The sequence below is a fragment of the Homo sapiens genome, chromosome 9 (assembly GCF_000001405.40).
Source record: "Homo sapiens chromosome 9, GRCh38.p14 Primary Assembly".
NCBI classification, from domain to species: Eukaryota; Metazoa; Chordata; class Mammalia; order Primates; family Hominidae; genus Homo; species Homo sapiens.
This window is the reverse complement of record NC_000009.12, coordinates 16164102-16180408: the sequence shown is the minus strand read 5'-3', so window position 1 is coordinate 16180408 and position 16307 is coordinate 16164102. Positions and strand designations below refer to the sequence as shown.

At 40.0% G+C, this 16307-nt stretch overlaps 1 annotated feature.

Moving 5' to 3' along the window:
- Positions 436–936: an enhancer, noted in NCBI's record as "H3K4me1 hESC enhancer chr9:16179471-16179971 (GRCh37/hg19 assembly coordinates)". NCBI's record gives its function as "activates a minimal SCP1, AML or CMV promoter by ChIP-STARR-seq in naive H9 embryonic stem cells {active_cell/tissue: H9 hESC(naive)}" and the evidence as "EXISTENCE:reporter gene assay evidence [ECO:0000049][PMID:30033119]".

Sequence of the window (16307 nt, the reverse complement as noted above, 5' to 3'; positions counted from 1 at the left end):
CAACTAATAAAATAATTATAACAATATACTGTAATAAAAGTTATGTGAATGCAGTCTCTCTCTCTCTCTTTCTCAAAATATCTTACTGTATTGTACTCATCTATTTTTGAAGGCAGTTGACCGTGGGTAACTGAAACCATGGAAAGCATCACAGCAGATAAGAGGGGACTACCTAACAATGTCTGCCACATTCAGTTTGCAAAACACAGAGTTAGGAAATTTCACCATTCCTGCTTCCTCTGAGTCCTCTGTTTTCAGGCACCAAAGAAGAAAAAAAATTGTTTAACTGTCACATGAAATCTATACAGTTTCTTTCTCTCTCTCTCTTTCCAAATATGAAAGGAACAATAGTCTACTTTTTCTTTAAAGAAGAAAGAAAAATATTTGACTTCCCAACAGAATTGTCTAGCACTAAATGGTGCCATAGGAAACCTTACAATTCAAATACGATTAGAGAAGAAAACCTGCAGATTGAGCGAGGTCTATTGTTGGAGCCTCGAGGGCATCTACATACGTTGAGACTTTGGGTTCTTAAGAAGAAGTGCCTATGAGGGGCCAATGAAGGGTAGCTTTTCTGAGCCATGTTTTTGACACTAAGGGTTGGTGGGGAGGAGAGCTGAAGGATGTGGTCTGGCTTTGAAGGGCTCAGCAGGTGAGATCACTTCTTGCCTGGCTGCCTAAGGGGGATCCCCAGCTGAGCCTGCGGATTCTGCAGCACAGGCACAGAAACTGCCCCATCTGTTTGCTGGGTGCAGCCCTGGGAAACATCTGTTCATCTCATTGGTTCTGGCTGCCTTCAAGGGCAACAATCTTGGAATGAACAGCTTCCCTTCCACAGACTTGAAGACAGCACTTCCCCGTCAGTCATGGAGAAAAATAAGATCTTGGGGCCGGACACGGTGGCTCACGCCTGCAATCCCAGCATTTTGGGAGGCCGGGGCGGGCGGATCACGAGGTCAGGAGATCGAGACCATCCTGCCTAAGACAGTGAAACTCCGTCTCTACTAAAAATACAAAAAATAAGCCAGGTGTGGTGGCGGGCACCTGTAGTCCCAGCTACTCGGGAGGCCGAGGCTGGAGAATGGCGTGAACCTGGGAGGCGGAGCTTGCAGTGAGCACACATGGCGCCACTGCACCCTAGCCTGGATGACAGAGCGAGACTCCGTCTCAAAAAAAAAATAAGATCTTAGAGGGCTCCTCATGCCCCAGAAAACAGGACTCAACTTGCTAATCTGTTGGTAACTAACTGGTGGAAAACATAGTCCTCTTTTTCCTTTGTTCACTTGTCCATCTTCCACTATGTATACATGCCCAGTAGACACTGGTAGCCTTACCTACACAGGTCCCAAAACAACTCACATACACTAATAGAAAGATTGCAAGTAAAATCAGTAGACTCCAGAAAAGCAGATCAAGCTAAAACCAGGATACATGGCTGCTATGGAGGCTGATTTAATGATAGAAAGAGGATATAAAACAAAACAAAATATAAAACTAAAATGAAAACTCTTAAAATGATAAAAGATGAGGTTGCAATGGAACAACCCAAGAACACAAATGTTTCTGGAATAAAAATATAATTTCTAAACAGTAAACTAGAACAGGAAAATTGAACAATAAACTGGACCATGATGAATACTCAACTAGTGACTTGGAAGAGTCAATGGACAAATTATCTCACAGGACAGAGAACAATATAAAGAAATGGTAATAATGAATAAAAAGATAAGAGATGTGGAAGATGGATCCAGGACATCTATAATGTGAAAATAGTAGCCCAGAAGGAGAGGAGGGAATAGTTTGAAGAGAATAATCAAATGCATTTTAGAAGACAATTCCTCTTACATGAAAAATGACTTGCATTTTCAGATCAAAAATGCTTGCCAGGCAGATTTAATAAGGCAAAACAAACAAAGCTGGCTATATCTGGATGATAAAGTTTCTGAAATCAGATAATAGAGAGAGAATGATTTACTTAACAGAGAACAGAATGAGACAGGCATTGGTTTTCTTATCTGTAAGAAAAGGATTATAATTTCAGAATTATCTACCTGACCAAGATATTGGGATGGTCAAAGAAAGACATTTCCACACAAGCAAAGACTCTTGTACTTTTTATAAAGGAATTACTTAATAAAATGTGAAAGTCACATAAAATTAAAATCAGAATGCAAATCTCAAGGTAGCAGATAATGGAGTATAAGAATTAGAGGAGACCAAATGCAACAATGCAATGAAGTTTACAATTTAATCTAAATTGGATGATGATGATACTACCTTACAGATTTTGACTACCTACCATCTGTCAAGCATTTTTCTAAGTACATTATATCTATTATTTACTATTACTTTCCCCACATTAGAGGCAAATATCACATTTTGCTATTACTTTTCCTTTGGTAACTTGTCCAAGCTCATTGAACCAGGATCTAAAGTCAGATAAACTGATTCCAGAACCTGCATTTATCCTGTATACGGTAATGCCGTGCATAGCCTCATAATAATGCAAATATAAATGATAATGTGAATGATAAAAAAGAATGTTTGAAAAGAGATGTATTATAATAAAAGTTTAATAGCTTGTCAGAATTAAAATCCCATATTAATTAAACAATACTCAAAAGTGGGAGTGGGGGTGGAGGTGTGTGTAGAAATTAAGAGTGAGAAGGCAAAAACCCTGCTGAAGTTCCTGTGCTTTTTAGGAGAGGGGTGCAGGTGTGAAGTTATTACTTAATTTTGGCAGAGACATATGTTTAAAAATGACTTTTAAAGATATAACTTTATCAACAAAATTAGAAACATAGCAGAATTTCATACTGAAGGAAGAAAAAAGGATTTAAAAATATTCAAATCAGGGAAGAAGAAGAAGAAAAAATAAGAATTAAAGAAAATATAAAATGGAAGGCATCAGAACAAAGATATCAGATATCACAGTTAATGTGAATGGCTTTATTTTTCTCATTAATAGACAAAGACTCACAGATTAGGTTAGAAAAACAAACCAACCAACAAAAAACAAAATTTAATTGGGCACTGTTTAGAAGATTATAGATACCTGAAACGAAATGAAAATGTTTAAAAATAAATGATAGCTATAATTATATCATCCAAACACAAACCAAATGAAAGGAAGAATACCAATATTAATGTCAGATTAAGTAGTACTTGAGACCAAAACATGAAATTAGGTAACAAGGAATGTTTTGAGTTGTTGAAATGAGCAAAATATAGAAGCAATAAGTTATATGTAAAAAACATTTTAACTGTATACAAACAATTTGGTAAAACCATAATCATAGTGGGAACTTTAGTTCTCTGAGATTCCAGCACATCAATTTTGGCAAAAAAAGATATAAAGGAGTAAAATAATAAATTCTAATATTTCATATGTGTGAGTATATATATAAACACACATATACGCACATACATAATGTATGTTACAAAGATTCACTTTTCCTTTTATGTTATATACACATATATAAAAAATTGATAGCGTGCTTGACCAAAAAGAAAACTGTAAAAACGTAAAATGTTGAGTTCATATGGGTCATATTCTCTCAGTATAATGAAATAAAGCTAGAAACCAGCCATAACCACAACAAAAAGGTAACCAAACAAAACTTACTCATCTGGTAATTAAAATGGAAATTTTAAACAATTCCTGAATCAAAGAAGAAATCAAATCAAATAATAAATTACATAGAAAATCAGCAGAAAAATGACATGATACAAATTTATGAGTAGTGGCTAATGCTGTATTCAAAATAAAATGTATAGTTTTAGTATTTAAGGAAACAAGCAAACTAAACATGTAACTTAAGGAAATAGAAAAATGACAGCAAAAAATCTACTACAACAAAGTTGGAAGAGAAATTATAAAAAAATAAAATAGCAATTTTAGAAATTGCTGTGGTTAATTTTAGAAATATAAATAGCAAAGTATAAGTGACTAGTAAAACCAAAGTGGGTTCTTTGAAAAGACAAAATTAACTAATCCCTGGCAAGCCTGAGAAATAGAGAGAGAAAACTACAACCTACAAGATGAGGAATAAAGAATCAATGGCACAGTCACAGATACTGAAGAGACTGAATGCATTTTAAGAGACAAATGCAATCACATCTCTTAGCCGCTGAGGTTGCCTCAGAAAATTTCAACTTAATAACTGCCTTAGATAAAGACTTCTTTGTCTCCAGTTCCTCAGAATCAGTCTATAAATGAATTTGTATTTTTACCAGAATGAGACATTTAAAAACTGCAAAAACAAGCCATAAGAAGGGTTTAAACAGAGTATTGTAGGGATTTTATGACATATGTTCATACAACTTCGTTAAGTGACATCTGTCTTACTAGATTTCCAAGTAGAATCAAATGCCCTAGGCCTTGCTTAGGAAGGAAAATCAACACATTGTTTTTATATCCAAATCGTAATGGTCCAAATCCATTTAACTGCTAGAAACTGAGCCCCCTCAGAGTGTTTCTCAGCTATTTCTGGGAGTTCCCAAAGGGATGCCTTTCACGTCCCAAACTGTGACAGCAGCAGCCACCCGTGGAGTTGGCCCTGTTAGTTCTCTCCTGCTGTCTCTCTGTTACCCTGCAGAGAGCACCCAGCTTTCTATAGTTTCTGCCTCCTGTTTTTCAAACACCTTCTTTTCCTCTGGGTAACCATCCATCCTCTTCTGCCAATGCCAGAAGTGGGCCTCTCTCCATGGTTGGGCCTATGACTCACGCCTGACCAATCAGACCGTTCATTCCCCTGGACCTTGCAATTGATTCAAGAGGGTCAGGTGGCCCCATCAGAGGCAACAAGATGCAAAGGCATTTTTGCTAGGTAGGCTGGGAGAGAGGCTAGAATTCTTTCTACTGGACTTGAACTGCTGGCAGCCATCTTGCCACTGCGTGGAGTCTGGTTATGAAGCCAACTAGTAGGGAACAGAGCCAAGAGAAGGGTAAGGGTGACATCGTTTGGGCCCCTGGGACAACCTGAGAACTAAAACCAGGTAATTCCTGTCAGTCACATAAACCAGGTAATTCCTGTCAGTCACATGAACCAGTAAGTTATTTTTTTCTTTTCCTTAGGCTAGGTGCCACTAGAACTAAGAATTCTGAGCCTCAAAGCACTTATGCTTGCATCCAGCAACTTCTCAAGTCTATTTTTCCTTAGCACATTGTTATTTATTTACTGTGCATGTTTAAGATATATAATGTGATGCTTTGAAATACATAAACATCATGAAATGATTACTAGTCAAGCAAATTAACATATCCATCATCTCACATAGTTAATTTTTTTGTGTGTGGTAAGACTATCTAAAATCTACTTCCAGCAAATTTCCAGTTTACAATACAATATTACTAACTATAGTCCTCATGCTGTATGTTAGATCTTTAGATTCATTTATCCTATATAACTGCAACTTGGTACTGTCTGACCTCCATCTCCCCATTTCTCTTACTCCTGATAACCACCTTTCTACTCTCTAAGTTGCTGTTGTTTTGAGATTCCACATATAAGTGAGGTCATGCAGTATTTTTCTTTCTGTGATTGACTTATTTCATTGAGCATAATGTGGTCTAGGTTCATTTATGTTGTGTTGTTCCAAATGGCAGGATCTTCTTCTTTATGGATATATATACATATATATATGTGTGTGTGTGTGTGTGTGTATATATATATAATATGTATATATGATGTGTATATATATAAGGAGATTATATATCTCTATATATAGTATATAATTTAGCCTTAAATTTTATATACATATATATATATATATATATATATATACACACACACACACACACACATATCTCAATTTCTTTATTAATTCATCCATTGATGGACACTTTGGTTTCTTCCATATCTTGGCTATTGTGAATAAGGCTACCATATGATTTAGCAACACAAAGGAATATACCCAAAAGAAATGAAATCGCCACTTCATAAAGATATCTACACCTCGATATTCACTAAGCCTCTTTTGAGCTGCTCTGATGGCTTTTGCCTTTAATCTGCTTTCCCAGAGAAACTTAAAACTAGCCCAAGGGAGTCGATGGAAACCCATCTCCTCTCTCCAAATCACCCCCTGGCTCCCAATTTCAACTAACATGCCTCTCACCTTTCCCATCTATGCCCACTCATTTCAGAGGATGCACACGGGATGTGGTGAGCAGGGGGGCTGGTGGCAAGCTGTAGGGGCAGTTACTTGAGCAACATCTAGACTCTTGCCAGGCCAGCTAAGGTATCCTAGTTCACCATGTTCTCAACTCGCATGACACAAAATCTGTCCCTTAAGCACAAAATGCAAGTCCATAGACAATGACCTTCAAGAGAAGAGTGAAATACGTAGAGGAAGAGCTCTCTGAGCTCACACAAATCTTTTGGTTTAAGCTACATATATTCATCTTGAAGGCCTTTAAAAATCCTTTCTAACATTTAAAAACTTTCAATTCACTGACTCAGACTTTTTAAAGATTAATAAACCTTCACAAATCTGCTCTGGTCAACCATTTTAATAGATTTGTCCTGCAGAGGTCTCAGCCCCACCACCTCAAAATAAAACAAACCAAACAATAAATCAAGACCACTGAAATGAAATCCAGTCTCACATCACAGAGCAACAGTTTTATGGGTGGAACGTGTGTTTGTTAATTTCGAGAACAAATTATTGTGTTTTATTTAGTGCAGTTCAATTTATACAATTTTAGCTACAGGAAATAAAAAATAAAGCCCACAGGCCAGTTTTAATTCAGTCAATTTTTTCTTTCACGAGCATCCCCATGGCAGAAGAAACTGGCTAACACCAAGTCAGAAAACCCCTCTCTAGTATCTTGCCTGACAGTAAACACAGCCACTCAAACTGAGACGTTATTCCACTTTCAGTGTCAATGATGTTTAATAGAACTGCATTATTAACAGAATAATGTTTCTGCATGGCAAAGCTGGAGTCAATATTTAATAGATTTAGGTCCTATTAGCAACTGGATTTTGGAGAAACCTGACAAAATTAAACATAGTATGCAAACTAACAGAGTAGATTTAAAGATGACAAAATAAACGTTTCCATAAACATGCATTTTTCATAAATATTTGAGGCTATGAATGAGATTCAATATCCTTTAATCATTTCCTAATTAATATTCTTTAGATAGGGCAATCCTGAGTAAATATTAGGCTTCTGTTAAAGAGTTCTGTTGAAGAACAAAATATCCAACCAAATGTTTTTGTTGTTTTTGTTAAGGAAGTATTAGCAAGGTTTTTCTAAATAAAACAACAGCCTCCACGAGAAGATATTCCTTCCTACATTCCAAAGACTGTTAAAGAAAAATGAAGTCAGCATTTATGATCAGAGGAGATGGCTTGAAGGAAGCTTAGAAATCACCAGGCTGAGCATTTCATGTTGCAGAGGCTCAGCCCTAAGAGATCTGGGAATTACCAAAGAAGAAACTGGGGTTCCAGACTCCACTCTGCCCTGGCCAGCTACGCTTGGATATCACTTAAGTTCGCAGTTCAGTTTTCTTGTTTGTAAAACGGGAATCGTAATTCTTATCCTGCTTTCTTTCCAGAGCTAAGTGGAGAAGTTGGTGAAATAGCTTTTGTGAAAATCTTTGCAAACTGTTTTAAGACTCTAAAGAAAAGTCACACTGCCTGGATCCAAAATCCAGCAGTACTTACTGCTGACCCGCTGAGTAGCTTTAGGTGAGTCATTGAAACAACCTGGGCCTCAGTTTCTTCAACTGTGAAATGGGGATGATAATAGCACCTGCATGACAGGGTTCTTGAGAGATTTAGATGAATTAATTCAGGAAAAAGTGCTTCGGTGGTGATCATCTCTTCCATAATAAGAACACAATACATATTAGCACTTATTATTATTATTCTCGTTATTGTCATTGTTATCCATGATGAGGATATTCAGTCCCAGGAAAATTCAAGTTCATAATTCCATAGAGAAAGTATGATGTCAGGTGACGAACCTGTGCATTTAAGTCACTTTCTGGACCATGAGGTCTGCTTCATCCTGGCAGACTCTGGCATGGGGCCACCCAGAGTGGCACTGATGGTGCCCTCAGCGGAGAAAGCATGTCTGATGGAAACAGCAGTCAGCTGAACTCAAATGAGACTCAGCCACAATGAGCCCCCGTGAGGGTTGCCACCCTCCCAGCCAGGACTGGGCATTGATCAGCAGCAGCCCAGCTCAGAATGAGCAGAAAAAACCCTTCAGGCGGCCTGGTGGGAAAGAGCAAAGCAAGGTCACCTGACATTCTCGGAAGGAAGGAAAACAAGAGAAGCCCAGCTGCCCTATCTCTGACCCTGGCCTGGGAAGACAACCATAAAAAATGTCATTGTGATTGATGAAGAGCTGATAAGGTGTGAAGAGACAACGCCAGTTCAAGGTTGGTCTGTGTTCTCGGGGCTTCCCTCCTAAGGGGCAGGTTTATAAATCTCAGTCGGTGCCAGCCATTGTAAATATAGGGTTTTTCTGGAGCAAGACAGCTGCTTTCTCCTCTAACATGAGTACTCGATGGGAAGGGACCCTCTGCAGACGCCGAGGAACTTGCTTGAGAGCATGAGAGTGTCCAAGCTACCTCCCAGCCCACCCACGTGGCCATGGTCTTTGCCCTCTGCCCATTTCCACGCTCCATCTACTGCGCTCCCCACCTCCTTACAATCCCACTTCCACTCCCTCTCCCTTCATAACAACTGGGTGCCTAGCATTTTTGCCTCCTGAGAGAAAATAACTAGGTATCACCCAGAGATGCCAAGCATATGTGGAGGGGGTCTAAAACACCAGCTATTTTTTTTGCCTGTGGGCTGATGGCTTTCACACAGTTCTTGGTTCAAGGGACCACTTCCCAGTGGCCAGGACAAAGCGCTGCAATATTTGGGAGGCAGATGATGTGAGGACTCGAGAGTATGGTATGGGAGTTTCTCTATTTTCTTTGTCACCCTCTCCTCTCTCATTCCGCATCTTTTCCTTCTTCCTTTTTTCTGACCCTTTCTCCGACTTTTCCTCTTTTCCTTTCATGTATCATTTTCTCCAAAATGTGGGTATTTCAGGAGTTTCACAGAAGGTCAAATTATTTCTCTTCTTTTCTAGTGTTACCTGAACAACGCCAAGCTAAGTCGATATTTAAAAAAACTTTAACTTGATATTCAGCTCGTTTATCAGGATGTAGTGTAAGCTGGAACCCCTCCTCATCTACAAAAAGGGGTACTAACTAAATGCAGGATCTCAGGTTCCCTCCAGCTCTGCTCTCCCAGGTAGTTTTCGGACTCACGCCTTTTCCCCACCTGGGCCTCTCAAGACTTTAAATTGCTTTCCAATAGGAAATTTACCCCAAACGATGTGAAGTCAAGGAAAGGCACACAAAGTCATGTCAAGTCCTTTTGGGAAAAAAACCCTTTAATGTTTACCCAGGCCTGCTTCTTAGGAAGATGCATGTCAGAAAAATATTGCACAGTTTTCTAACGGAAGTCACACAGTGCGGCAGCAAGACACCACCTCCCTTCCTCTCAACCTCACTTAGTCTGGCTTCGAGACCTCTTCGACAAGGTGTTTCAACATCAAGGCTGTGTTTCCACAGTTCATTTGGGCTTTGTTTGAAGCCAGGGCAATAGCTCAGAGATCCCAGAACCAGAATTTATTGGATTTGTCTAGAAAGTCACCTGCCTCTGAATTAATATCCCATGGGAAATGAGATATTCTTCGGCTGAGGTCCCCTGTGTTAAATGTAGACCAAACCCATGGCAACTATCCTTTGGCCACCTGAGAAGTAGGTAGAAATGCCAGTCTTCTTATTATAAGGCAGCAAACATAACCAATAAATGTATTCCTTCTTGGAATGAAAGCATACATAGCAGGTACTATTACTGCTATTAATAATACATTAAGTGGATGTGAAAGCGCCTGCATACAGAAACAACAACCCAAACCCCAAACCAATGAGAATTAACTTTGAACCTTTGCAGTACACAGTATATCACACTCACACAACCAATTAAAAAGGCATGTCATCTTGTTTGGAAAGTATCTATTGATTTTCCAGTTCATCAGATCAGGTTGATGTGTCTTTCAATGGCCTCGATGACATCATCAATATTTTTCTATTTAAAATAATGACTTATTTTATATGCCAACAGCTATAAAAAACAGCCCACCTATATATATTTCTACCGACACCAGCTTAAGAGCCATCTGGTTTTCTCTCCTTAACATATGATATTGGTAATCTGGGGCAAAAGAAATGTTTTGGTCTTGTCATGAGACTCATTTAGAGACCACAGTAAATTTGTTTAGTTTAAAAACCAACCACTAAATCATGTTTTCTCTATTAGAGGCTGATGCTCTCCACTGCATTTGGTGTCCAAATTACATTCATTTTAGAGTAAATTACTTTCATTTCAGAAGCAGCCCCCAACTCCCTTCTCCCTCCCGTCCAAGAAGGCAATACACTCACCAGCTGTGTGATCTTTGGCAAGTGACTTAATCTCTCTGAAACTCTTTTTTCTCATGTATTAAAAGGTGGGATAAATATGAGGTAACATGCATATAACTACTTTTTACTCTCACAGTAGCCCCACAAGGTTGATACTATTAGCCCCATTTTACAAAGGGGGAACTGAGGTACAAAGAGGCTAAGTAATGTGCCCCAAAACAATACAGTTTGTACAGGATGCAGCCAGATAATCTGACTGCAAATGTTCATAACCAGTTGTACTTGCCTCACAGGGATGTGTGGGGATTCAGTGACAGTTAAAACACCAAAATGCCAGTGCTGGCACTTGACAGGTGCTAAGCAGACATTATGGCAGAGGGTTGGGAATCATACCACTCAAGTTCAAATTCCAGCTTTTACCATTTAGTACCTATATAACCTTGGGCAGATGGTAACCTTTATGTGCTTCAGTTAATTAATTGTAAACGGCAGTGGAATGGCACCTGCCTTGTTGGGTGGTAGTGAGGATAAAATAGCTCACAGCATGCACAGGACTTATATTAGTGCCTGACACAGTCGGTGCTCAATAATGGCAACTGGAGTTATTAATAGCCACTCCATAAATGCTATGCTCCCTTTCCCCCAAATCCTTTGTGTTCCCATAAATGTTTTCAACATACATTTAACCTCAATCTATGACCTATGGATCAGAAATTCAAGCATCATTGTGGCCTTGCAGGAAGCACCCTGCTGGAAGAATTAATCTTTCCCCACCAAGGGATAGCATTGAGGAGTGAGGAGGAGGATCTTGGCTGAGCCTCCTTACATTTTTCTTCTCAAGTCAAAACATCCATCATTAGTGCATGTAAAATTGAGTGATAAAAGCACGTCCTTCGAGGCCCTGTTTGTGCAGGGTGGTGCCATAGTCTGAACTGGAAATGAAAAGCTTGTAGTGAGACAGGTGTGGCTTAAGATCTGGCTCTAAGTGAATTAGCTGTGTAATTTCCAGCATTTGTGGCACTACCCTGAGTTTTAAGTTCCTCCTCTGTAATCTAGAATAAATGCTATTTCAACTCATCATATGGCTGTGAGAATTAAACAAGAGAGCACATTGAAGCTAAGTTCCCAACAAATGTCAGCTCCCTTCTTCTGGTCACCATCCATGAAATTATTCTGGGGGATAGGTGATAAGGGCTCTGTACCTTTTCCAAGTCAGGAATGAGTTTCCATTCTAACTGGAGTGTGGAAGGGGCGAGGGCTTGCTTTGAGTGGGTCTGATTATAGAGAGTGGGAACATCTCAACAAGTCATTGGGGGTGACATTTTGGGGAGTCTTGAGATTTCTTTCAGTATAAGGGCTAATAAAACCAGACCGAGTTTTAGGATACAACAGACCATTTACCAGCCCAAGAAATACGGCAGATGAGATCTCATGTGCAGTTCTCTGGGGAACTGCTGCAGTGGGATTCCAGACAGAAACTGGCAGTTAAGCAGCTCTGATGACAGTCTTGGTGCATTTTTCCATAGCTTCCCTGTCTGTTGCCTGGGCTCGCCATTCCAGTTTTCTTTTCCAAGTCCAAGCCTCAACAATTCAGTGTTTGCCTCTATAAAAATGAGCCCAGTTGGCCTCTCTGTTTCCCTCCCAGTCGATGGGAAAATGAGGCTGAAGTCCTGAGGCCTTAGGAAAGGCATCTTGGGGAAGAAACTGGAAGGCACCTGGAATCTCCATCTAAGCTCTGTCCCTAATGGGCCAGGTCACCCTGAGCAAGTTGTTTCACCTTTCTGGGCCTCAATTTCCTTATCTCTAAAGAGGGGAGATTGGAGCAGCTCCATGGTCTTCACACTGTGTTCCATGGAGCCTAGGGCCCCATGGCAGCACCTGTGAAGCTGCCACAGTGGCCTGGGGCAGAGGTCAAACTCCAGCACCTCATGGCCAGCCTACAGATGAGTTTTTATTGATCTGTGCAATGATTTTCTTTTCTTTAAATATTGAAGTAGTAGCTCAAATTTCAAAATCAGGAGGTTTTAAAAATATACATTTTATTTATTTATTTATTTTGAGACGAAGTCTCGCTCTGTTGCCCAGGCTGGAGTGCAGTGGCGTGATCTCGGCTTGCCACAGCCTCTGCCTCCCGGGTTCAAGCGATTCTCCTGCCTCAGCTTCCCAAGTAGCTGGGGCTACAGGCGCGCACCACCATGCCTGGCTAATTTTTGTATTTTTAGTAGAGATGGGGTTTCACTATGTTGGCCAAGCTGGTCTCAAACTCCTGACCTCGTGATCCGCCCGCCTCAGCCTCCCAAAGTGCTGGGATTACAGGCATGAGCCACCATGCCTGGCCCACTTTATTTTTTAATAGCAGTTTTAGATTTACAGAAAAATTGAGCAAAGTACAGAGAGTTCCCACATATGTCCTCCCCCCTTCCACGTGGACCCTCACACCAGGTTTTCTCTATTATTCTCATCTTGTGTCTTGTAACAGGTATGCCTATTACAGTTGATGAGCCAACATTGGTACATTATTATTAACTAAAGTTGAAAGTTTACATTAGGTTTTACGCTTTGTGTTGCACATTCTATGGGTTTTGCAAATGCACAGTATCGTGTATCCACCGACAGTATCATACAGAAGAGCTTCACAGCCCTAAAAAAAACCCTGTGTGTTCTGTCTAGTCATCCTTCCCTTCCCTCTACCCCCTGGAAACCACTGATCTTTTTACTGTATCTATAGTTTTGCCTTTTCCAGAATGTCATAGAATTATAAAGTATGTAATATTTTCAGACTGGCTTCTTTCACTTAGCAAAATGCGTTTAAAACTCTTCCATGTCTCTTCATGACTTGATAACTCATTTCGTTTTAGTGCTGAATAAGAAGTATATTGTGTGGATGTATCACAGTTTATTTATTCATTTCACCTACTGAAGGACATCTTGGTTTCTCACAAATTTTGGCAATTATGAATAAGGCTGCTATGAAAATCTATGTGCAGGTTTTTGTGTGGACATACATTTCCAATTCATTTGGGTAAATACCAAGGAACACAATTGCTAAATCACATGGTAAGATTGTGTTTAGCTTTGTAAGAAATTGTCACACTGTCTTCCAAAGACAGCATATCATTTTGCATTTTTACCATTGCTCCACAATAGTAAGAGTTCCCATTGCTCCACATTTTTGCCAACATATAGTGTTTTCAGTTTTTTACTTTAGCCAGTCTCATAGGTGTGTAGTAGTATCTTGTTTTAATTGGCAATTTCCATGAGTTACAATATATGATGTTGAACATCTTTTCATATGCTAATTTGCCATCTGTATATCTTCTTTGGTGAGGTGTCTGTTTAGAGCTTTGCTCATTTTTAAATCGGGTTGTTTTTCCATTGTTGAGTTTTTTGGTATGTTCTGGATACAAGTACTTGATGAGGTATGTGTTTTGCAAATATTTTCTCTCAGTCTATGGTTTTTTTTTTTTTTTTTTCCACTCTTTTAACAGTGTCTTCGACAGACCAGAAGTTTTTAAAAATCAAGACATTTCACATAGCAATCTGGCTTTCTGGCTTCTCTTGGAAGTGCATCTGGTAACACTGGGACCCATGCCTGCAGGGCTAAAGCCACTGGCGGCTGCCTCTGTGGACAGCCAGCTCTCCCCAGTTCTCCAGAGCTGCATCCCTCCCACTTCACTCAGCTGCATTACCTGCCTGGCCCCCTGAGATATATGCCTGGGATGACTCTGGTCTAGAGAAAGCTTCTCCTTTCTACAGTGGGTTTCACATAGGTATGCCTTGAGTAAAACCATCTGATGCTTTAAAAGAAAAGTTTAAACATGACTGGCTTAGATGATCTTCCTGCTCTTTCCAATCAGTCTTACCCTTCCATTGTCACATTCAACTTGAACGAGAGGAGAGGCAATTTCATAAACTCTCTCTCTGTGGCCTGTTGTGCTCACTCCAATCCATGTCATGGAGTATGATGCCTACATGAAGGTCACCACCACCAATGCCACTGTGCTTACCAGAAGTGCCTCACACCAGCTGGATCAATAAGAAGAAAACCTTCACATGCAGCTGCCTTCTATATGGGGATGGGGGTAAAGTCATCTCATACAGCACAAGTATCTTAAACCCCAAATCACCTCGAGGTATGGAAAATAGACATTTGCTATAGGTTGGTTCATTTGACCCTTCCAAGTCTCATGTTGAAATTTGATCCCCAATGTTGACAGTGGGACTTAATGGAAGGTGTTTGGATCATGGAAGTAGATCCCTCATGGATGGCTTGGTGCCATCCTCGTGGTAATGAGTGAGTTCTCACTCTATTAGTTCCCACGAGAACCAGTTGTTAAAAAAAGAGCCTGGCACCTCCCTCCCCTTTCTTGCTTCCTCTGTTGCCATGTAATCTCTGCACATGCCAGCTCCCCTTTGCCTTCTACCGTGAGTGGAAATTTCCTGAGGCCCTCACCAGAAGCAGATGCTGGTGCCATGCTTCTTATACAGCCTGCAAAACCAAGAGCCAAATAAATATCTTCTTTATAAATTACTCAGCCTCAGGTATTCCTTTATAGTAACACAAATGGACTAAGATGGCATCTTTATAGACAGGAACCACTCTTGCCACAGAAAGATGCTCTTGCATGAAGGCACATGAGAACTGAGACCAGGAGAAAACAGCAGATTGGAGCCACAGATTTCTGCCTCTCAGCTCATACTCATTCTGAGGCATAAACCTATTGAGTAGGGTGGTGGGCTAACTCTCAGCATTATCTAAATTTCTGTCTCTCTCTTTGTCCCCTGAATTGGTGTAGTCAACTTTCTTTAAGGAGTATGTGTTTGGCATGACTCAGTTTTCACCAGGGTCGCTAATGCATCTGAAAGCTGCCTCTTGAGTTCTAAAAAGCATCAGTAAAGACAAATCAAAAGGGCCTAGCCCAAACTTCACAACAAATTAGAGGTGAGGTAATGATTTTTATATAAGTTCCTTGTCCCCTGGCCAAGCTTGGTATCTTATCGTGTATACTTGTTGAAGTTACATATGTAGAGGACAATGTTAATTTGCTAGGGCTTATATGACAAAGTTCCACAAACTGGGTGGCTTATATGACAGAAATTTATTGACCCACAATGCTGGAAGCTAGAAAACCAAAATCAAGGTGTTGGCAGGATTGTTCCTTCTGGGGGCTCTGAGGGAAGGAGGCGTTCCAGGCCTTTCTCCTTGGCTTGTAGACGACTGTCTTCTCCATGTCTCTTCACATAACCTTCACTCCATGGGTGTCTCTGGGTGCAAATTTTCCTTTTTTATAAGGATGCCAGTATATTGAATTGGGGTTCACTCTAATACCTCATTTTAACTAATTACATCCACGATAATCTGATTTCCAAGTAAGGTCACATTTTGAGGTATAGGGAGTTAGGACTTCAACCTATGAATTTGTAAGGGGAGCATAATTCAACCTATAATAAGGCCTCTAGGGTAGGAGGACAAAAATCCCTTGTCTCCATCAGTCAGTCAACTCATGGGGAAATATAGGTCTTGGGAAAGTGAATTAATAAGGAAAGTCCATAAAAGCAAACCTTAATGATGGCATTCCCAACGTTCTTCATTCTTCCAGAATCTTTCTCTTCTTTTTGAGATAACATAGTCATGGTAGAAACAAAGAGGTGCTAAAAATCAATGGAAGATTATTGAAAGTCTCAAAACTCTTCTCCAGTCTTCCCCCAATCCTCACGACATCTTCATAAAAGCTGTTCTTAATGACTGCCCATGAATAGCTCTTCAAGCAGCTATCTTGGCCAAGTAAATAGAACTGTGAAATAAAGACCAGTCCCACCTCCTGTGCAGGCTTCAAAGATGCCAATGGCTTCCCAGAAGTTCCTCACC